The 23962-nt window shown below is 46.5% G+C and overlaps 2 annotated features.

The window, feature by feature from the left end:
* Positions 4172-4466: a silencer, noted in NCBI's record as "tiled region #9070; HepG2 Repressive non-DNase unmatched - State 23:Low, and K562 Repressive DNase unmatched - State 6:EnhF". NCBI's record gives its function as "represses a minimal TATA promoter and a strong SV40 promoter by Sharpr-MPRA in HepG2 and K562 cells {active_cell/tissue: HepG2 | K562}" and the evidence as "EXISTENCE:reporter gene assay evidence [ECO:0000049][PMID:27701403]".
* Positions 4937-5678: an enhancer, noted in NCBI's record as "H3K27ac-H3K4me1 hESC enhancer chr3:138562234-138562975 (GRCh37/hg19 assembly coordinates)". NCBI's record gives its function as "activates a minimal SCP1, AML or CMV promoter by ChIP-STARR-seq in primed H9 embryonic stem cells {active_cell/tissue: H9 hESC(primed)}" and the evidence as "EXISTENCE:reporter gene assay evidence [ECO:0000049][PMID:30033119]".

Raw genomic sequence — 23962 nt, forward strand, 5'->3', positions numbered from 1 at the left:
GTAGAGACAGGGTTTCACCATATTAGCCAGGCTGGTCTGGAAGTCCTGACCTCATGATCACCCGCCTCAGCCTCCCAAAGTGCTGTGATTACAGGTGTGAGCCACCGCGCCCAGCTGCTTTTTTTTTTTCCTGAGGGAGTGTCTTGCTCTGTTGCCCAGGCTGGAGTGCAATGGTGCAATCTCTGCTGCTCACTGCAACCTCCACCTCCTGAGTTCAAGCGATTCTCCTGCCTCAGCCCCCCGAGTAGCTGAGATTACAGGCACCTGACACCATGCCCAGCTAATTTTTATATTTTTTTAGATTCGGGGTTTCACCATGTTGGCCAGGCTGGTCTTAAACTCCTGACCTCAGGTGATCTGCCTGCCTCTGCCTCCCAAAGTGGTGGGATTACGGGTGTGAGCCACCGCACCCAGTCAACAATAAGAAACTTGAGAGATGAGATCATCCTGGATGTAGGATGGGTCCAAACCCAATGACAAGTGTCCTTATAAGAGAAGGGGAAAGAGAGATATGACACAGAGAAACATAGAGAGGAGGGTAATGTGAAGAAGGAGGCAAAGGTTGGAATGATACATCTACAAGTGGAGAACACCAAAGATTGCTGCCTCTGTTTCTCCGCTTCCTCAACTGCCTTCAAAAATCAGCACAAGGGCCTGGGAGTTGTGGCTCATGCCTGTAATCTCAGCACTTTGGGAGGCCAAGGTGGGCAGATCACCTGAGGTCAGGAGTTCAAGACCAGCCTGGTCAACATGGGGAAACCCCATCTCTACAAGAATACAAAAATTAGCTGGGCATGATGGCAGGTGCCTATAATCCCAGCTACTCAGGAGGCTGAGGTGGGAGAATCGCTTGACCCCGGGAGGTGGAGGTTGTAGTGAGCCAAGATCACGCCACTGCACTCCAGCTTGAGCAACAGAGCAAGACTCTTTTTCAAAAAAAAAAAAAAAAAATTAGCACAAGGCCAGGCGCAGTGGCTCATGCCTGTAATCCCAGCACTTTGTGAGGCCGAGGCGGGCAGATCACCTGAGGTCAGAAGTTCAAGACCAGCCTGGTCAACATAGCGAAAACCCATCTCTACTAAAAATACAAAAATTAGGAGGGCATGGTGGCGCACACCTGTAATCCCAGCTACTCAGGAGGCTGAGGCAGGAGAATCGTTTGAACCCAGGAGGCAGTGGTTGAAGTGACCCGAGATCGTGCCGATGCACTCCAGCCTGGGTGACAGAGTGAGGCTCCATCTCTTAAAAAAAAAAAAAAAAAATGATCCAGTCACATGTGCCAAGGCCATCAATCTTGGGAGGGAAAGGACAGAAAGTAAAAAGCAGATGGAGAACAGAGGGGAAGAGGGAAGGGTGAGCAGTGGCCACTTAAAAAACAAATTCTGCAACAGAAAATTAAACTTAAGGACCAGATGGGAGGGCAGTGACATTGGAGGGAGAGGGTGAAGCAAAAACCATTTTTGAATTTCTGTTTTCTTCAGGCAAGGTAATTTCACAAATGTGTGATTACTAATATCACTTATAAATATAGAATGTTAATGAGGCTTTAAAAGAGCTATCTGGGGACAGGGAACAATGGCTCACACCTGTAATCTCAACACTTTGGGAGCCACAGGCAGGAAGATCTTTTGAGGCCAGGATTTCAAGACCAGCCTGACCTTGAACTTGAAACAGAACTGGACCCTGTCTTTTTTTTTTTTTTTTTTTTTTTGGAGACAGAGTCTCTCACTGTGTCACCCAGGCTGGAGTGCAGTGTCATGATCTTGGCTCACTGCAACCTCTGCCTCCCAGGTTCAAGCCATTCTCCTGCCTCAGCCTCCTGAGTAGCTGGGAGTACAGACCATGTCCAGCTAATTTTTTTTTTGTATTTTTAGTAGGGGCGAGGGTTCACCATGTTGACCAGGCTGGTCTTGAACTCCTGACCTCAGGTGATCAACCTGCCTCGGCCTCCCAAAGTGCTGAAATTACAGACGTCAGCTGCAAAGCCCAGCCTTTTTTTTTTTTTTTGAGACGGAGTCTTGCTCTGTCACCCAGGCTGGGGCTGGAGTGCAGTGGCGCCATCTTGGCTCACTGCAACCTCCGCCTCCCAGGTTCAAGCAATTCTCCTGCCTCAGCCTCCTGAGTAGAGGATTACAGGCACGTGCCACCACACCTGGCTAATTTTTGTATTTTTAGTAGAGCCAGGGTTTCACCATGTTGGCCAGGTTGGTCTCAAACTCCTGACTTCAAGTGGTCTGTCCACTTCGGCCTCCCAAAGTGCTGGGATTACAGGCATGAGCCACTATGCCTGGCTGACCCTCTGTTTATAAAAAAAAAAAAAAAAAAGTTTTTAATTAGCTGAGTGTAGTGACATATGCCTGTAGTCCCAGCTACTAGGGACGGATAGCTTGAGCCCGGGAGTTTGAGGCCGCAGTGAGCTATGATCATGCTACTGCATTCTAGCCTGGACTACAGAGCAAGACCTGTTACAAACAAACAAACAACAACAACAAAAAAGGGCTGTCTGGGCCGGGCGCGGTGGCTCGTGCCTGTAATCCCAGAACTTTGCGAGGCCAAGGCAGGTGGATCACTTGAGACAAGGAGTTCGAGACCAGCCTGGCCAACATGGTGAAACCCCCTTTCTATCAAAAAAATACAAAAAATTAGCCGGGCATGTCTGTGCGTATCTGTAGTCCCAGCTACTTGGGAGGCTGAGGCACAAGAATTGATTGAACCCAGGAGCAGTGGTTGGAATGAGCCAAGATCCTGCCACTGCACGCCTGGGTGACAGATTGAGACTTTGTGTCAAAAAAAAGGGGGCTATCTGGAATCAAATATCCAGTCTCCTCATATTTGTCTTTTATCTACTGCCTCCCCAGGAACAAGATTAGTGCCTGACAAATAGTAGATGCTTAGTAAATATTCTTTTTTTTTTTTTTTTTTTTTTTTTTTTGAGACGGAGTCTTGTTCTGTTGCCCAGGCTGGAGTGCAGTGGAGTGATCTCGGCTCACTGCAACCTCCACATCCCAGATTCTAGCTATTCTCCTGCCTCAGCCTCCTGAGCGGCTGAGATTACAGGCGTCCGCCACTATGCCGACTAATTTTTTGTATTTTTAGTAGAGACGGGGTTTCACCATGTTGGCCAGGCTGGTCTTGAACTCCTGACATTGTGATTCACCTGCCTCAGCCTCCCAAAGTGCTGGGATTACAGGCGTGAGCCACCGCGCCCAGCTAATATTCTTTTTTTGAGATAGTGTTTCATTCTGTTGCCCAGGCAGGAATGCAGTGGAATGATCACAGTTCACTGCAGCCTCAACCTTTTGGGCTCAAGCCTTCCACCTCAGCCTCCAAAGTAGCTGGGACCACAGGCACACACCACCACACTTGGCAAATTTTTTAATTTTTTTTTTTTTTTTTTTGAGACGGAGTCTGGCTCTGTCGCTCAGGCTGGAGTACAGTGGCGCTATCTGGACTCACTGTAAGCACCGCCTCTTGGATTCACACCATTCTCCTGCCTCAGCCTCCCGAGTAGCTGGGACTACCTGCCACCACGCCCAGCTAATTGTTTTTCTATTTTTAGAAGAGACAGGGTTTCACCATGTTAGCCAGGATGGTCTCGATCTCCTGACCTTGTGATCCGCCTGCCTCAGCCTCCCAAAGTGCTAGGATTACAGGTGTGAGCCACCATGCCCCTGAATGAATTTTTTATAGCTGAGGAAAACTGAGGCCCAGAGAAGTTAACAGGCTCACTCAAGGTCACAGAGCCAGCTGGTACACAGATCTTTCAGGCTCCTAACTTTGCTGAAATGCCTGCCAGTTGCTCCTCATGACTGGCCAAAATAGCCTTGCCATGTGCCTTGGGTTCCCAAGTACTGATTATATCAACATTCCCAAACAAGAGGAAAATTCTCTAGGAATACTGAGGAACCATTCCTGGGCTGCTGGGATGGATAGAATCTTGGTAGGTTTGTGAGAAGAATCAAAGAGCACTTTTATAGGAGCTGGAGGGAAGATTTATCCCGCCTGGTGACATCCTTCCTGACTTCCTCCCTCCGGAATATTGACTCTATGGCTGAAGGCCTGGGAGGATTTGGGCTCAGCTTGTGAAATCTTCCCTACCAGCCCTCCATGATCCAAGCCACATCTGCCTTATTATCTTAGCCAACTCTTCTTCAAGGCCTCAGCTTCAATTTCACTTCCTCCTGATTGCTGGCTTCCCCATGCTTCTTTAGGGACCAGTAATCCACTATGAGACTCTCACTTCACTGTTGAGAAATGACTGGTTTTCCTGCCTGTCTCTCAGTGGGTTCCAAGCAACTTGAGGGCTGGAATGCTCCCCTATATATGGCCAGGTCCAAGCACGAATGGTCTCACTTGCTATGTTGCCTGGCTGGATGGATTTGACCTCCTGGGCTCAAGCAAATCTCCTGTCCTAGCTTCCAAAGTAGTTGGAACTACAGGTGCATGCTAATGTGCCCAGTAAGGCTTTCTTTTGAAAAACAAATTACTCTCCTGTATGTACTTTTTTTTTGAGAGAGAGAGAGAGAAAGAGTCTTGCTCTGTCATCCAGGCTCACTGCAGCCTCAACCTCCCAGCCTCAACTGATCCTCCCAGCTCAGCCTCCTGAATAGCTAGGACCACAGTCACGTGCCAATACGCCTCCAGCTAATTTTTTCTTTCTTTCTTCCTTTTTTTTTTTTGAAACACATGAAACGGAGTCTTGCTTTTTCACCAGGTTGAAGTGCAGTGGCCCAATCTCGACTCAGTGCAAACTCCGCCTATTGGGTTCAAGCGATTCTCGTGTCTCAGCCTCACAAGTAGGTAGGATTACAGGCACCTGCCACCATGCCTGGCTAATTTTTGTATTTTCAGTAGAGACGAGGTTTCTCCATGTTGGTCAGGCTGGTCTCAAACTCCTGAGCTCAAGCACTCCACCCACCTCAGCCTCCCAAAGTGCTGGGATTACAGGTCTCTATGTGCATTTTTATCCATGATTTTTAGGAAAGAGTTCAGTGTTCAGCTACACCAGTGTAAAATTTGCAGGGCTAGAAGCTGTAGGAAATAAGACAGACATTCTGAAAATGGGGAAGACCCCAGGTGTGGTGGCTCAAGCCTGTAATCCTAGCACTAAAGGAGGCCAAGGCAGGAGGATCACTTGAGCTCAGGAGTTCAATATCAGCCTAGGCAACATAGTAAGACCTTGTCTCTATAAAATATTTTAAAATATAAAAAAAAGAAAAGGAGGAAAAAGCCAGGCAATGGGACTCAGGGGGACTACACATATTCTCCTGGAATGCAAACTAAGAGATATATAATGTTTTGAAGGAAAATTTGATAAAACACACATACATACACACACAAATACATATATATATGTATTACATTTATATACACCACACACACAAAGAGGAGAGAGATTATAGCTGAATATCGTGATATTATGCAACTTTAAAAAGAATAAGGCGGCTGGGCACGGTGGCTCACGCTTGTAATCCCAGTACTTTGGGTGGCTGAGGCGGGCAAATCACGAGGTCAGGAGTCCAAGACCAGCCTGACCAACATAGTGAAACCCCATCTCTACTAAAAATTCAAAAATTAGCTGGGCGTGGTGGCACGTGCCTGTAATCCTAACTACTTGAGAGGCTGAGGCAGGGGAATAGCTTGAACCCGGGAGGCGGAAGGTTGCGGTGAGCCAAGACCGCACCACGGCACTCCAGCCTGGGCAACAGGGCAAACTCCGTCTCAAAAAAAAAAAAAAAAAAGAAGGCACTGATCTGAAACAATCTCTAAAATATTGTTTTGTGAAATCGGTAAGATGCAGAACAGTAAAGAAAGCTGCCATAGATTATCATCAGAAAAACACAAGAAACTAACAGTTGTCTGGAAGAAGGAAAACTAGAGGCTGGGAAAAAAAGGTGGAAGGGAGATTTAATTTTTATGGTTATTTTCTTTTATGCTATTTGAAATTTTATCATGTCCACTTATTATATATACAGTATGTATATGTACATATATATACACACAGTAAGGAAAACACATAAAAGGGCTGTAATTAGGGCGGGTGCGGTGGCTCATGCCTGTAATCCCAACACTTTGGGAAGCCGAGGTGGGCGGATCACGAGGTCAGGAGTTTGAGACCAGCGTGGACAACATAGTGAAACCCCATCTCTACTAAAAATACAAAAATTAGCCAGGCATGGTAGTGCACGCCTGTAGTCCCAGCTACTCGAGAGGCTGAGGCAGGAGGATTGCTTGAACCTGGGAGGTGGAGGTTGTGGTGAGCCGAGATCGAGCCACTGCACTCCAGCCTGGCAACAGAATGAGACTCCATCTCAAAAAAAAAGGGCTGTAATTTAGCGAGCTATGATCATGATTGAAAAAGGAGAGGGAGGCTGGGCGCTATGGCTCACGCTTGTAATCCCAGCACTTTGGGCGGCCGAGGCAGGCAAATCACAAGGTCAGGAGTTTGAGACCAGCCTGACCAATACATTGAAACCCCATCTCTACTAAAAATACAAAAATTAGCTGGGCATAGTGGCGCGTGCCTGTAATCCCAACTACTTGAGAGGCTGAAGAAGGAGAATAGCTTGAACCTGGGAGGCGGAGGTTGCAGTGAGCCGAGATCGTGCCATTGCACTCCAGCCTGGGCGGCAGAGCAAGACTCCGTATCAAAAAAAACAAAAAAAAATTCCCGCCTGGGCAACAGGCCTCCGTCTCAAAACAAAAAAAAAAAGAAAAAAAAAGAAAAAAGGAAAAGGAAAAGGCAAAGAGCAGGAGAGGAAGGGAGGAAGGGGTGGAGCCTGGTGAGGAGGGAGTCAGTATGGCAGTGAGGGCACTTGAAGGGCGGGAAGTAGGCTCAGGGACTAGCCTTACAAATCAAGAATGCCATCACATTGTATGTTTTTTTTGTTCTGTTTTTGTTTTTTTGAGACAAAACAAAACTCTGTCACCCTGGTTGGAGTGCAGTGGCGTGATTACGGCTCACTGCAACCTCTACCTCCTGGGCTGAAGCAATCTTCCTGCCTCAGCCACTGAAGCAGCCGGGACTACAGGCGCAAGCCACCATGCCCGGCTAATTTTTGTTATTTTCTTTGTAGAGACAGAGGTTTCACCATGCTGCCAGGCTGGTCTGGAACTCCTGAGCTCAAGCGATCCACCAGTCTTGGCCTCCTGAAGTGCTAGGATTACAAGCATAAACCACCACGGCCAGCCTTGTTTATTTTTTATTTTTATTTTTTTTTCTTTGAGACAGGGTCTCACTCTGTCACCCAGGCTGGAGTGCAGTGGCGCAGTCTCGGCTAATTTTTGTATGTTTTTGTAGAAATGGGGTTTCATCATGTTGCCCAGAACGGTCTCAAACGCCTGAGCTCAAGTGATTGGCCAGCCTCGGCCTCCTAAAGCGCTGGGATTACAGGCATGAGCCACCCAGCCCAGCCTCCTTCATGCTGTATGTTAAGTGCAATTAGCCTTCAATCCTATTAACTTGTGGCTGTAGAATAGTGTCATTCACTAAAGAAATATAAGTTGGTGTTGAGAAACAATAAATCAGACACTTTAAAAACCAATTAGCATTGGTATGTGAAGTTAGTTAGATCAAAGATCGTATCCCAGGTTCCCAAGGGGTTTGTGGAATGTGAGCTATTCATCAGCAAATGTGCTGCCCTGTTTGTTTTTGTGGACAAGCCACCCTAGGCTACAATTTAACCTGTTTTTACGTTTAAGGAAGATAATATAATTAAATTAACATTTACATAATCTGCTACCTTGAACACCTTGAATCAAGAATTTTCTGCCCCATTAAGGAGTCAAAGGCAGAAATAACTAAATTCGAATGCCAGTGGCCCATCTGCACTTTCACCCGAATTCATTCAAAACTGCATTTTTGGTGGAGAGCCTATGTACAGCGCCTTAGGGAGCTCACAAGGCCTTATACTGGCAAAACAAACCCTAAGTTCAAAGGGATTACTTTAGCTTTGAAAAAAGTGCTCTGTCCCAGCCTTTTTCCTTTAAGAAAACAGCAAACCAAAGAGCTGACTTACTTAAGGGAGTTTGGTGCTTTTTTTTTGTACCAGGTTGTGATCGTTAAATCAAGCAGCACTCACAGGTCTACAGCAGTCTTGAAATACCTATGCAAATGAATGGGGGAGCTTGCACGTACAAGATGGGTCTCAAAAACAAAAACCTGGATTGTGCAATCTGTAAGGGTGGGGACATGAGCAAAATGTGAAATGACTTCCTTAGACTTCAGTCCCCTAGACTGATCAAGGGGCGGATAAATTTTGTTCCTCTTACGCAGTCAAGACTTACACGTTGGCCGGGTGAGATGGCCCACGCCTGTAATGCCAGCACTTTAGGAGGCCAAGGTGGGTGGATTGCTTGAGCCCAGGAGGTGAGCCTGGGCAACATGGTGAAACATCATCTCCTCAAAAAATACAAAAATAATTTGGGTGTGGTGGTGTGCACCTGTAGTCCCAGTTACTCTAGGAGCTGAGGTAGGAGGATCACTTGCTGCTTGGGAGGTGGAGGTTGCAGTGAACTGAGATCCCACTAGAGTCAGAGGCATTTGAACCACAGCAACTCCATTTTGAATAGGGGCTGGGTAAAATAAGGCTGAGACCTACTGGGCTGCATTCCCAGACAATTAGGCATTCTAAGTCACAGACAGGATGAGATAGGAGGTCAGCACAAGATATAGGTCATAAAGACCTTGCTGATAAAACAGGTTACAGTAAAGAAGCCAGCCAAATCCTACCAAAACCAAGATGGCGATGAGAGTGACCTCTGGTAATCCTCACTGCTACACTCCCACCAGTGCCATGACAGTTTACAAATGCCATGGCAACGTCAGGAAGTTACCCTATGGTAACCTGTATGGTCTAAAAAGGGGAGGTATAAATAATCCACCCCTTGTTCAGCATATAATCAAGCAATAACCATAAAAATGGGCAACCAGTAGCCCGTGGGGCTGTTCTGCCTATGGAGTAGGCATTCCTTTATTCCTTTCTCTGTTAGTGAACATAACCTTCACTTTACGGACTCGCCTAGAATTCTTTTTTTTTTTTTTTCCCGAGTCGGAGTCTCGCTCTGTCGCCCAGGCTGGAGTGCAGTAGCGCGATCTCGGCTCACTGCAAGCTCCGCTTCCCGGGTCCACGCCATTCTCCTGCCTCAGCCTCCGGAGTAGCTGGGACTATAGGCGCCTGCCACCACGCCCGGCTAATTTTTCGCATTTTTAGTAGAGACGGGGTTTCACAGTGTTAGCCAGGATGGTCTCGATCTCCTGACCTCGAGATCCGCCCGCCTCAGCCTCCCAAAGTGTTGGGATTACAGGCGTGAGCCACCGCGCCCGGTGGCTTTTTTTTTTTTTTTTCTTTTCTTTTGAGTCGGAGTCTCGCTTTGTCGCCCAGGCTGGAGTGCAGTGGCGCGATCTGCGCTCACTGCAAGCTCTGCCTCCCGGGTTCGCGCCATTCTCCTGCCTCAGCCTCCAGAGTAGCTGGGACTACAGGCACCCGCCACCATGCCCAGCTAATTTTTTTTTTTGTATTTTTAGTAGAGATGGGGTTTCACCGTGTTAGCCAGGATGGTCTTGAGACTGAGTTTCGCTCTGTCGCCCAGGCTGGAGTGCAGTGGCGCCATCTCGGCTCACTGCAAGCTCCGCCTCCCGGTTTCACGCCATTCTCCTGGCTCCGTCTCCGGAGTAGCTGGGACTACGGGCACCCGCCACCATGCCCCGCTAATTTTTTTTTTTTTTTTTTTTTTTTTTGTATCTTTAGTAGAGACGGGGTTTCACCGTGTTAGCCAGGATGGTCTTGAGACTGAGTTTCGCTCTGTCGCCCAGGCTGGAGCGTAGTGGTGCGATCTCGGCTCACTGCAACCTCCGCCTCCCGGATTCTAGTGATTCGCTTGCCTCAGCCTCCTGAGTAGCTGGGATTACAGGTGCACACCACCACACCTGGCTAATTTTTGTATTTTTAGTGGAGATGGGGTTTCACCATGTTGGTCAGGCTGGTCTCGAAGTCCTGACCTGAAGTGATCTGCCCGTCTAGGCCTCCCAAAGTTCTGGGATTACAGGTGTGATCCACTGTGTCCGGCAAGACACTAACTCTTAAAAAAATTTTTTTTTCTTGACCATGGGCCACCTAGTTAAAAAAAATTTTTTTTTAATTAAAAAAAAAAATTACAGGCGTGAGCCACCGTGACCAGCCTTAATTTAAAAAATTGAAAAGGCTGGGCACGATGGCTCACAGCTATAATCCTAGCACTTTGAGAGGCCAAGGTGGGAGTATCACTTGAGCCCAGGAGTTTCAGACCAGCCCTGGCAAGATAGTGAGACAACCTTTCTACAAAAAAATTTCAAAATTTAGCTGAGTGTAGTGATGCGTGCCTGTAGTCTCAGCTACTTGGAGAGACTAAGGCAAGAGGATCTCTTGCGCCCAGGAGTTCCAGTCTGCAGTGAGCTATGATTTTGCCACTGCCTTCCAGGCTGGGCGACAGAGTGAGACTGTTTCTAAAAAAAAAAAGAAAAAAAACTGGGCTGAATGCAGTGGCTCATACCTGTAATCCCAGCACTTTGGGAGGCTGCGGCAGGCAGATCACTTGAGGTAAGGAGTTTGAGATCAGCCTGGCCAGCATGGCAAAACCCTGTCTCTACTAAAAAATAGAAAAATTATCTGGATGTGGTGGTGTATGTCCGGCTAATTTTTGTATTTTATAATTTTGTAATTCCAGCTACTTGGGAGGCTGAGGCATGAGAATCACTTGAGCCCAGGCAGCAGAGGTTGCAGTGAGCCAAGATCACATCACTGCACTCCAGCCTGGGTGATGGAGTGAGACTCTGTCTCAAAAAAACAAAAACAAAAACAAAAACAAAACCTATTTACTGGGATAGGTGGTGGAGATATAGGGGTGAACAAAACAACATGTTGCTTGCAGCTGATGCTGCAGAGGAAGAAATAGTCATTAATGAAGTCATCACATGATGAACTGCAAATTACAGCTAAGTGCTATAAAGTGGGAGTGCCTGATGTTGTGACAGCAATAATAATAGGGGGAATTTTGGTGTGAGTTGGCTGAAGGTAATGTCAAGACAAGAAATGATTAAAATAATTTTTAAATGAAAAAAATAAATAATATGAGAAATTGACATAGTCAGAGGCGAAAGCAAAGGTTTCCCTTAAGAAGGGACACTAGGCTCAGTCCGAGGGAAGAATAGACTTTAACCAAGCAAAGAGTGGAATGAAAAATGTTGCAATCAGAGAGAACAGCCTAGGCAATTGTCCTGTGGCAGTAAGGAATGTATCAGTTTGAAAGACCAAAAAAGGCCAGTGTGACTGGCATGTAGAAAGCATGGTATGACATCCTGGGGTAGACATAATCACCATTAACTAGTATTTCCAGCTCATTTCCCCTCCAGAGGACTGCTGCCTTGAAGTTAGGTGGAATCCTTGAAGTTGGGTGAAGTCATGAGACTTGCTTTGGCTAATGCAAATCACTTGCTTTGGTAAGCACAAGTGGCAGCTGCTACCTCTCGGTGGAAGCATTCAAGAGGTGCAGTGTGTTTCTCCAGGTCCTTTCTTTCCCCTATGCTGAAACAAAGGTGCCACAAGAAAGAGGGGTTCCAGGCCCCGGCGCAGTGGTTCATGCCTGTAATCCCAGCACTTTGGGAGGCCAAGGCAGGCGGATCACCTGAGGTCAGGAGTTTGAGACCAGCCTGGCCAACATGGCAAAACCCCATCTTTACTAAAAATACAAAAATTAGCCAGGCGTGGTGGCCCCTACCTGTAATACTAGCTACTTGGGAGGCTGGGGAGGAGAATCGCTTGAATCCGGGAGGCAGAGGTTGCAGTGAGCCAAGATCTTGCCACTGAAAGAGGGGGTCAGAATAACTGAGCCAACACAAGAAGTACAGCTACCTTGGAGAGCTGCCAGGAGGGTGGCTGACTGCATGAACTGGAAATAAACATTTGCCATACTTAAATTACTAAGATTCTGGAGCTGTTTGTAACTGCCACAAAGGTAGCCTACCCTACTTATATAGGCCTTATTAAGGGGGGTAAAGCAAAAATACTTCAGAACTTAAATAGAAAGAATTTCTGTTTTTAATTTTTTTTTTTTTTTTTGAGATGGAGTTTTGCTCTTGTTGCCCAGGCTGGAGTGCAGAGGCACCATCTTGGCTCACTGCAACCTCCGCCTCCCAGGTTCAAGTGATTCTCCTGCCTCAGCCTCATGAGTAGCTGGGACTACAGGTGTGCACCACCATGCCCAGCTAAGGTTTGTATTTTTAGGAGAGATGGGGTTTCACCATGTTGCCCAGGCTGGTCTCGAACTCCTGACCTCAGGTGATTCACCCACCTCAGCCTCCCAGAGTGCTGGGATTACAGGCGTGAGCCACCGCGCCCAGCTAAATTTTTTTTAGGAGTCAGAGTCTCACTCTGTCACTCAGGCTGGAGTGCACTGGTGTGATCATGGCTCACCACAACCTCAACCTCCTGGGCTCAAGCAATCCTCCTGCCTTAGCCTCCTGAATAGATGGGACTACAGGCTCACTCCACCATGCCTGGTTAATTATTTTATCTTTTTTTTTTTTTTTTTTTTGGAGACGGAGACTCGCTCCATCACCCAGGCTGGGGTGCAGTAGCATGATCTTGGCTCACTGCAAGCTCCGCCTCCCAGGTTCACGCCATTCTCCTGCCTCAGTCTCCCGAGTAGCTGGGACTACAGGTGTCTGCCACCACGCCCGGCTAATTTTTTGTATTTTTAGTAGAGACGGGATTTCACCATGTTAGCCAGGATGGTCTCAATCTCCTGACTTCATGATCCGCCCGCCTCAGACTCCCAAAGTGCCGGGATTACAGGCATGAGCCACCGTGCCCAGACTATTTTATCTTTTGTAGGGATGGACTCTTGCTTTGTTGCCCAGGCTGATCTCGTACTTCTGGCTTCAAGTGATCCTCCAGCCTTGGCCTCCCAAAGTGCTGAGATTACAGGAGTGAGACGCCACATCTGGCCAGAATTTCTTTAATCTATATCTACAACTTAACTGCATTCACCAACATTTATTCATATAAATTTCAACATCTATTTTTTTAAAACTGCATCTAGTTTGCAGCATCTGATTTTTTTGAACTCCTGGCCTCAAGTGATCCTGCTGCCTCAGACTACAAGCATAAGCCACCACAGCATCTGATTTTCTATCCGAACATCTTCAACACTGAAGAAAAAAATGTTTTTCATCTTATAAAATTGAATAGATATGGTGGGGGAAGGGATTTCTTTTTAAGTTAAATATAAAACATCCATTGAGTACTTCTTTTTTTTTTTTTTGAGACAGAGTCTCGCTCTGTCATCCAGGCTGGAGTGCAGTAGCGGGATCTCAGCTCACTACAACCTCCACCTCCCCGGTGCAAGCTATTCTTCTGCCTCAGGCCTCCCCAGTAGCTGGAACTACACGCACTTGCCACCACGCCCAACTGATTTTTGTATTTTTAGTAGAGACGGGATTTTGCCAAGTTGGCCAGGCTAGTCTTGAACTCCTGATCTCAGGTAATCTGCCTGACTTGGCTCCCAAAGTGCTGGGATTACAGGCGTGAGCCACTGTGCCCAGCCCATTGAGTGCTTTTCTACTATCTATTAGCACAAGGGTAATTACCTGAATTTATTTAATCCTCCTAATAACATTATTATTACATGTGTTTTCCAGATGGAGAAACTGAGCCTCAGAGTGGTTAACAACTTGCCCAAGGTCATACAGCTGGGAAGGAGTGTACCTGAAATTAAAATCAAATTGTCTGATTCCTTCATAAATGGGCCTATTTATTTATTTATTTATTTATTTTTGGGATGGAATTTCACTCTTGTTGCTCAGGCTGGAGTGCAATGGCACCATCTCGGCTCACTACAACCTCCGCCTCTCAGGTTCAAGTGATTCTCGGCCTGGCACGGTGGCTCACGCCTGTAATCCTAACTCTTTGGGAGGCCGAGGCAGGTGGATCACTTGAGATCAGGAGTTCAAAACCAGCCTGACCAACATGGTGAAACCCCGTCTCTACTAAAAATACGAAAAAATTAGCCGGGCATGGTGGCAGGCGCCTTTAATCCCAGCTACTCGGGAGGCTGAGGCAGGAGAATTGCTTGAACCCAGGAGGCAGAGGTTGCGCCACTGCACACCAGCCTGGACAACAGATCAAGATTCCGTCTCAAAAAAAAAAAAAAAAGATTCTCCTACCTCAGCTTCCTGAGTAGCTGGGATTACAGGTGCCTGCCACTATGCCCGGCTAATTTTTGTATAGTATTTTTTTTTTTTTTTTGAGATGGAGTCTTGCTCTGTTGCCCAGGCTGGAGTGCAATGGCACGCTCTCGACTCACTGCAAGCTCCGCCTCCTGGGTTCAAGCGATTCTTCTGGCTCAGCCTCTTGAGTAGCCAGGACTACAGGCGTGAGCCACCATGCCCAGCTAATTTTTGTAGCTTTAGTAGAGACGGGGTTTTGCATGTTGGCCAGACTGGTCTTGAACTCCTGACCTCAGGTGATCTGCCAGCCTCAGCCTCCCACAGTGCTGGGATTACAGGCGAGAGCCACCACGCCCGGCCTGGGCCTAATTCTTACCAGAACTCTGTTCATATCTCTGAGACTGAAAACTCCATCAGACTGAATGCCTTCAAGGCAAGAATGATATCTTATTTGTCTCTGCATGCCCAGCACTGGGTCAGCCACCTAGATAATCCTCGATGCATATTTTTGGAAGTAATGAATAGCTGATTAAAAAATATTTACATGAGTGGGGCACGGTGGCTCACGCCTGTAATCCTAGCACTTTGGGAGACCAAGGCGGGTGGATCACCTGAGGTCAGATGTTCACGACTAGCCTGGCCAACGTGGCGAAACCCCCACTCTACTAAAAATACAAAAATTAGCCGGGCGTGGTGGTGGGCATCTGTAATCCCAGTTACTTGGTTGGCTGAGGCAGGAGAATCACTTGAACCTGGGAGGCAGAGGTTGCAGTGAGCCAAGATTGCGCCACTTCACTTCCGCCTGAGCGAAAGAGCAAGACTCTATCTCAAAAACAAAAGAATAAATGTGTGTACGTATGAATTTATGACTGATAAGCTACATTAGCCACTAGGGATTATATTTTGGCAATTTTTTTTTTTTTTGGAAATGGAGTCTCACTGTCACCCAGGATAGAGTGCAGTGGCGCAATCTTGGTTCACTGCAATCTTCGCCTCCCGGGTTCAAGCAATTCTCCTGCCTCAGTCTCCCAAGTAGCTAGGACTACAGTTGCACGCCACCACCCCCGGCTAATTTTTTGTATTTTAGTAGAGACAGGGTCTCACTGTGTTGCCCAAGCTGGTCTCAAACTCCTGAGCTCAGGCAATCCACCTGCCTTGGCCTCCCAAAGTGCTAGGGTTACAGATGTAAGCCACTGCGCCCGGCCATATTTTGGCTATTTATTTATTTACTTATATCTCCTACCAGGTTGTAAACTTTGTCTACACTTTCAGGACAAAGTGTAGACAGAGTGTTTATTTTTATACCTCCCACAGTTGACACAGGGCCTTGCTCTAAGTAAGTCCTCAGCTAATGAATGTTAGGTCCCTTCACCTGAATTCACATAGCCAGCAAATGCTGAAAGAGGGATTAGGACAATAGCCCCTGTTGCTTTCACATCATACTGCCTCCCACCCTCCCTCTAAGATTTTAGTTAATTTGGTGTTTTCTAGGAATATGCAATTCATGGCCTAATCGTACATGGCAGCAAAAAAAAAAAAAAAAAGAGTAAAAAAAAATTTGTATTCAACTTTGGAAACATTAAGTCATCTGTTATTTGAAGGAAAAAATATATATAGAGAAAACACACCTGACTGTGCATATGATTAAATGGCCTTGAGGATGTAATATAAGCCAACCAAAGTACAGAAATCCAGAGTTCACCCTGCAACAGCATCCTGATATTGTGTCTGCACTTCCACTCTGGTTCTTTGAATGAGCTTCCCAGGTGTTATTTTCTAGTGATGACGTGTCTCAATATCCGGATCTCTGGGGAGCTCTGAACTGGACAGATACAATCTTAGCATACTTTTGCCAGACACAGCTTAATGCAAGCTTTCTTAAACTTTTTTTGATCCAATTCCCCGTAAGAATGCATTTTGCATTGCAACCCAATACATAGGGAAGTGTGTCTGTATGTGTATTGATAATGTGTGCTGAAATAAAAATTTAATAAGACCTTTATTCTGTGTGATGCACTTTGATATCAGCTAGTCCATTTCTATATTCTTTCTTTTTTTATTTTTCCTCTGATGGCGAGATTTCTGTTTTGTTTTGTTTTGTTTTTGTTTTGAGACAGGGTCTCACTCTGTCACCCAGGCTGGAGTATAGTGACACAATCATAGCTCACTGCAGCTTTGACCTCCTGGGCTCAAGAGATCCTCCCACCTCAGCCTCCTTAGTAGCTGGGACCACAGGCACTTGCCATCACACCTGTCTAATTTATTTTTTTGTTTTTTTTGGTAGATACAGGATCTCACTATGTCACCCAGGTTGGTCTTCAACTCCTTGGCTCAAGCGATCCTCCAGCCTTGGCCTCTGAAAGTGTTGAAATTACAGGCGTGAGCCACCATGCTTGGCCAACAATTTTTTATTTTTATTTTTTGAGACAGGGTCTCGCTCTGCTGCCCAGGCTGGGGTGCAGTGATGAGATCACAGCTCACTGCAGCCTTGACCTCCTGAGCTCCAGTGATCCTCCCATCGCAACCTTCCCAGTAGCTGGGACTACAGATGCATGCCACCACGCCTGGCTCCTTTCCATGGCTAACGGGTTTTTGCCATGTTGCAGAAACTGGTCTCCAACTCCTACGCTCAAGCAATTTGCTCTCCACAGCCTCCTAAGGTGCTGGGATTACAGGCTTGAGCCGCTGCACCTGGCCGACATTTCTGTTTTATCTTTTATGTTATAAAATTGCTATACAAGTGTCAGTCAGATAGGTATAATTTAATATGCAGGGTTGGGGAAGCATCCTGGAGTAGCTAACATTTAAGCTGAGATCTAAAGGCCAAATAGGAGTTAGTCACATAAGATTTGAGAGGTGAGGGAGTAGGGAGAGAATTCTAGGCAGAGGAAAGAACACTGTCCATACACAGAGGTAAGAAAGAGTCGGGGGTGGCCAGGTGTGGTGGCTCATGCCTGTAGTCTCACCTACTCGGGAGGCTGAAGTGGGAGGATCATTTGAACCCAGGAGGTCAAGGCTGCAGTAAGCACAACTGCACTCCAGCCTGGGCAACTGAGTGAGACCCTGTCTCAAAAAAAAAAAAAAAAAAAAAAAAAAAGAGTCAGGGGCCAGCCTGGTGACTCACGCCTATAGTCCCAGCACTTTAGGAGGCCAAGGTAGGAGGATCACTTGAGCCCAGGAGTTCAATACCAGCCTGAGCAACATAGCAGGACCCCATCTTTACACAAAATAAAAAGATAAAATAGCTGGGTGTGGTGGTGCACACCTGTAGTCCCAGCTACTCCAGAGGCTGAGGTGGGAGGATCATTTGAGCCTGGGGAGGTCAAGGCTGCAGTGAGCTGTGAGCACACCACTGCACTCCAGCCTGATGACTGATGAGACCCTATCTCAAAAATAAAGAAAAAAAAAGAAAGAGTTGGGTGCATATAAGAAACCATGTTATGACCAGGCGTGGTGGCTTATGCCTGTAATTCCAACTTTGGGAGGCTGAGGTGAGTGGATCACCTGAGGTCAGGAGTTTGAGACCAGCCTGGCCAATGTGGTAAAACTCTATCTCTACTAAAAATACATTAAAAAAAAAAATTAGCCAGACATGGTGGTGTGAGCCTGTAATCCCAGCTACGCGGGGGGCTGAGGCAGGAGAATCACTTGCACCTGGGAGGTGGAGGTTGCAGTGAGCCAAGATCATGCCACTGCACTCCAGCCTGGGTGACAAGAGTGAGACCCTGTCACAAAAACAAATAAACAAACAAACAAATCTTATATGCCCCACTGCCTTGCAAAAAAAGGACTGGACTTCCGTTGTTTCTGTCCCCACTTTTTCTTTGGAAACCCCCATTCCCTACTTTACATAGGGTTGGTGAAACTGCTATGTGGGACCACAACCCCTACCCCACAGGGATGGATGGGTGGCACAGGCTGGTCAATCAGAGACCTCCATCTCCCTGGCCACAGTAATGATTGGCTCAAGATTGAGGAGGTAACCTCAACCAGACCTATCAAAGTCATCTTTATAAGTGATATATGGAAAGGATGTCTTTTCTCTGTCACTGGGAATGCAGATATAAGATCAAGTAAAGCTAGAGCTTTCTTTCATTGTGTGGAGACAGCAGGTCAAAAAATGAAACCAAAATACAGGGAAAAGGAGAGCTAAGAGCAGGACCAAGAGAGGAAGAAGCAAGAGCATATCATTTGAAAGTTTGGGTCCAGACGTGCAACACTATAACTATTCAAACTAATAACTCCACTCTTCCCTTTTGCTGGTTTTAGTTGGTTCTCCATTATCTGCAACTGACTCTAAGTGTGAAAGGCATGAAAGGAAAGGTAGACAGCCAATTTATTTATTTATTTATTTATTTATTTATTTATTTATTTATATATATTTTGAGACAGAGTTTTGCTGTGGTCCAGGCTGAAGTGCAGTGGCACAACTGTAGCTCACTGCAGCCTGGAACTCCTGGGCTCAAGCAAAATCCTCCCACCTCGTTCTCCTAAAGTGTTGGGATTATGGGTGTGAGCCACCGCACTTGGTCTTAATTTCTTTAAAAAAATGAAGAACAGAAATATGTCTGTGGCAGCAAAAAAAAAAAAAAAAAAAAAGTATATCTATATATATATATATAAAACTGTGGGCTCACAGACCCACCTCACCTCTTCCATGAATGGGAATTTTTGCCTGAAATATGCCAGATTTCAAGGATTCTAGATTTTTGAGGTTAATCAATTTCTCAATTTCTCTCTCTCTCTCTCTCTCTCCCTCTGTCTCTCTTTCTGTCTCTTTCTCTCTCAGATCAATGTATCAGCTTTGTGAAAGTAGGTTAGGGAAGTTTATAGGGAAAGTAGGGAAGCTATAATATGTTCCTAACTAGAAAAATATCTAGCTATGCTGGGCGCGGTGGCTCATGCCTGTAATCCCAGCACTTTGGGAGGCTGAGGCAGGCGGATCATGAGGTCAGCAGTTTGAGACCAGCCTGGCCAACATGGTGAAACCCCTTCTCTACTGAAAATACAAAAATTAGCCAGGCATGGTGGCGAGTGCCTGTAATCCCAGCTACTAGGTAGGCTGAGGCAGTAGAATTGCTTGAACCCAGGAGGTGGAGGTTGCAGTGAGCCAAGATCGTGCCATTGCACTCCAGCCTGGGCGACAGAGCGAGACACCGACTCAAAAAAAAAAAAAAAAGAAAAAGAAAACTGTCGAGCTAGAATGGCTTGGACCAGGATAGTGGTGGTGGCAATAGAGATGAAGGAAGAAAATTTAAGAACAACTTTACTAGAGCTGCTAGAACTTGTCATGGATTAGATGTGAAAGACTGAACTGCCAAGATGAAAGAATTCAAGAACACACAGTTCAATGGTGCTAGAGCAATTTGTTTGTTTTACACCCTGTGGTGGGAGCTAGGACAGCAGAGATGATAAACAGTCCCTGCCTTTAAGGAACTTTCAGCAGAGGACCCCCAATATTCAGGAAAGTAAAACAAAACCCAAAAAGTCCAGAACCCTCTCCAGCTCCCTGCACCTAGGAATAGTGAAAAGTTCACCTGGAGTTGGGAGATGAACTTTGTCTTCCTCTAGAAATGTCTTACAAAATGGCTTTGTAAGATAGGACTTGTGGGCTGGGCGCAGTGGCTCATGCCTGTAATCCCAGCACTTTGGGAGGCCAAGGCAGGCGGATCACCTGAGATCAGGAATTCGAGACCAGCCTGACCAACATGGTGAAACCTCGTCTCTACTAAAAATACAAAAATTAGCCGGGCGTGGTGGTGCATGCCTGTAATCTCAGCTACTCGGGAGGCTGAGGCAGGAGAATCGTTTGAACAGGGGAGGCTGAGGATGCGGTGAGTCGAGATCGCGCCATTGCACTCCAGCCTGGGAAACGTGAGCAAAACTCCGTGTCAAAAAAAAAAAAAAAAAAAAAAGATAGGACTTGTGTTAACTTTGGTTACTTAGCCTCCAGGACCTCTGCCTGTGGTGGGGATCAGGGGAAGGACTCAGGTCAAGAAGGCAGGGGAATAAGGGTAAAGAAAAAAGATAGAGGCAACCGGGCGCAGTGGCTCATGCGTGTAATCCCAGCACTTTGGGAGGCTGAACAGGCAGATTGCTTGAGCCCGGGAGTTCAAGACCTACCTGGGCAACATGGCAAAACCCCGTCTCTACAAAAAATACCAAAAAATTAGCCAGGTGTGATGGCATATGCCTGTAGTCCCAGCTACTCGGGAGGCTGAGATGGGATGGTGGCTTGAGCCCAGGAGGTGGAGGTTGCAGTGAGCCAAGATTGCACCACTGCCCTCTAGCCTGGGTAACACAGTGAGACCCTATCTCTACCAAAAAAAAAAAAAAAAAAGATAGAGGTAAAATGTATACTGGATGAGAACCCATGCTGAGCTAGTTTGTCATAACCAGCCAAATAGGATTTGAAGAAACAAAGGCTATGAAAGTAGGTGCATATGGTGAAGCAGTAGTAGCTTCCAAGTGCGCTATCAGGCCAGCTATCCCAGAAATCAAAGAACAAAAAGGCTTTCAGGCCAGGAGCAGTGGCTCATGCCTGTAATCCCAGCATTTTGGGAGGCCAAAGCTGGAGGATCCCCTGAGCCCAGGAGTTTGGGAAGAGCCCGGGCAACATGGGGAGACCTCATGTCTACAAAAATTTTAAAAGTTAGCTAGGCATGGTGGTGTGCATCTGTAATTCTAGCCACTTGGGTGGCTGAGACAGGAGGATCACTGGAGCCCAAAAGGTCAAGGTTGTGAGCCATGTTTGTGCCACTACACTCCAGCCTGGGTAACAGAGACCCTGTTTAAAAAAAAAAAAAACCAAAAAAGCCAAGTTAAATGCTCAAATCACATGCTTTATTAAGTGAAGCTAAAAACACACAGGAAAAAGCAAGAGGAAAGAGATGCGGTAGGTTAACACACTTGGGATAGGATGCATGCAGCAGGGTGGAAGTGTCACAGTATCTGAATCCTGGGGGTCACAATTGTTCATATGTTCAGTCTCTTGGCTGCATTAGTCTTCCCTGCTGACAGTGCAGCTATAAAGAACAGAATTGAGGTTTGAGGCCTGGTGCGGTGGCTCACATCTGTAATCCCAGCACTTTGTGAGGCTGAAGCGGGTGGATCACTTTTGAGGTCAAGAGTATGAGACCAGCCTGGCCAACATCTTGAAACACCATCTCTACTAAAAATACAAAAATTAGCCTGGCATGGTGGCAGGCACCTGTAATCCCAGCTACTTAGGAGGCTGAGGCAGAAGAATCACTTGAACCCAGAAGGTAAAGGTTGCAGTGAGCCGGGATCATGCCACTGCACGCCAGCCTGGGCAAAATAGTGAGGATCTGTCTCAAAAAAAAAAAAAAAATGAATTGAGGTTTGAGCAAAGGCATGCCCACAGATGGACCCTTCCCTGGATCAGACACACTAATTCCAAAGATACGCACAGCTACGGTACACCTTGTCACCACTGTAGCTTTCCAATTAGCCAGCTGAGCAGTTATGGGTTTATTTGTATGTTTTGGACAGAAGATGGGGCCAGAATGGTTGTCATCCTCCACATTGAGACTTCATGAATGAATATTTAGGGTTTCTTGTATATTTAGATTGTTACAGAATTCTAGTGCCTCATGTATATTTAGTACCTCAAGAATAGTAGGTATCTCTTGGTTCTTCTATCTTTTCTATGTTTGTCACACACATCTTGTACTTATTATCTTAACACATTTTAAAAGATTTTGCCTTTATCTTACAAACTGTAAATTTATTCATTTTCTAAAATAGAATTAAATATTCTAAAAAGCAATTGCATGTTACAGTAGGATTACCAAGTATCCATGTCAGAGATACTTTCTTTTTGAGACAGGTTCTGGCTCGGTCACTCTGTCACCCAGGCTGATGTGCTGGAGTGCAGTGGTGCAATCATGGCTTACTGCAGCCTCAGCCTCCTGGGCTCAAGCGATCCTCTCATCTCAGACTCCCGAGTAGCTGGACCACAGGTGTGCACCACCATGCCTGGCTAGCTTTTAAATTAAAAAAAAAAAAAGTTTTTTAAAACCCTGTGAATAAAATAAGACAAGGTCTCTCTATTTTGCTGAGGCTGGTCTTGAATTCCTGGGCTCAAGCCATCCTCCTGCCTTGGGCTTCCCAAATGTTGGGATTACAGGTATGAGCCAACACTCCTGGCCAGAGAAACTTTTGGGATTGGTGAATGTCAACCAGGACAAGAGGACCTGAAGCCCTGGGTAGCACTCTTCAAAGAACAAAGAGGAAGGGAACTTTTCTCCCTCCCAGAGTGATAGAGCTGAACCCAGGAAGGTAAGAGGAACAGCTGGAGCCATGAAAGGGATACTTAGGGGCCATTGGCAGAAGCCAGTGCTAGGGAAGCAGCTAGGATAAGCAGATGCAGCCTAGCATCCAACATTGGTAGCAGCCAACAGGCAGGATTGCTGATGCCCAAACTTGGAGCTGGATGCTTTCCCCTAAAACCCCTAAGAAGGGAGAAGTCAGGGAAGAAGTGTAAGGAAGCCCAGCCCAGCCCCAGCCTTTGGATGCTGTGAATAAAAGGACCAGCTCTTACCAGGACACTTCAGGTTTCTTGCAAATCTCTAACTTCCTTAAAGCTAGCTATTTTCATTACTCCTTATTTCCCTGCAGCTCAACTATTAAAAGGAATAGGAGCTGTACATGGTGGCTCACACCTGTAATCCCAGTTACTCCAGAGTCTGAGGTGGGAGGATCGCTTGAGCCCAGGAGTTCAAGGCTGCGATAAGCTATGATCACGCCACTGCACTCCGGCCTGGGAGCAGAGTGAGACTGTGTGTCTAAAATAATAATAATAAATAAATAAAATGAATAAGGTTTAAGCACAGAAAGAAGGAAGTGCAAAGGGGGTTGGTAATTTATTCAAAAGCTGGTCTGGGGAGGAGGAGCTGCCCTTGATGGTATAGGGGGTATGTTGGCTGTGAGGCCTTTGGCAGCACCCTGGGGAGCCTGTGAGGAGAGAGAGGGTTCACAGGCTCCATCCCAGTTGAGAGGTGAAAGCTGGATGGGGCCACAGTGTGGGTGAGAGCTCTGACATGGACAGCTCAGAGTAGCACCTCAGGGAATACTTGGATTTTTTTTTTTTTTTTAACTGTTTTGCTTTGTAGTCAGAGAGGTATAGGACCAGATTGCTGTGGGAAGAGGGAACTGTAGGAAGTAGTTCTGCCCCTGCCCCCACCCCCAGGCTCCCACAGTTCTCTCTGCTACCTCTGCCATCACTGTACACTCATTGCCTGTTCTATCTTGGTATCCCCCACCAGACCGTGAGTGTCCCGGGAGCAGGCACTGTGTCTGATTCACCTCCTTCTGCCTCACAATGTGGCCCAGCATGGGGCTTGACACTTGGAAGTTTCTCAAAGAGTTACTTGTTGAATGAATGAACAAATGAATGCTTTCTCTGAACTGCCCTGAACTCTAGATGAGATTTACAAAGAAGGGAAGCCCTGCTTACAGTTCTCTGCTCCTTATACCCGCTTCCTAAAGGCGTTCGTGTGCCTCTAGGACTCAAGGAGGCTCCCGCCTCAGCCTCCCCAGCAGCTGGGACTACAGAGGCACCCCACTGTGCCTGACTTCATTTATATACATTTTCCCGGTGATTTTCTGGAGTCTATATCCTTCATCAGATTTTCCAAGGGGTGTCTGTCCCCTCAAAAGAATGATTGTCATTATTTGAAAGACTAGTTCCAGACAGATATTTTATACAAATTTTCCCAGCATTGACATCCCTGAACC

The sequence above is a fragment of the Homo sapiens genome, chromosome 3, assembly GCF_000001405.40.
Source record: "Homo sapiens chromosome 3, GRCh38.p14 Primary Assembly".
Classification (NCBI taxonomy): Eukaryota; Metazoa; Chordata; class Mammalia; order Primates; family Hominidae; genus Homo; species Homo sapiens.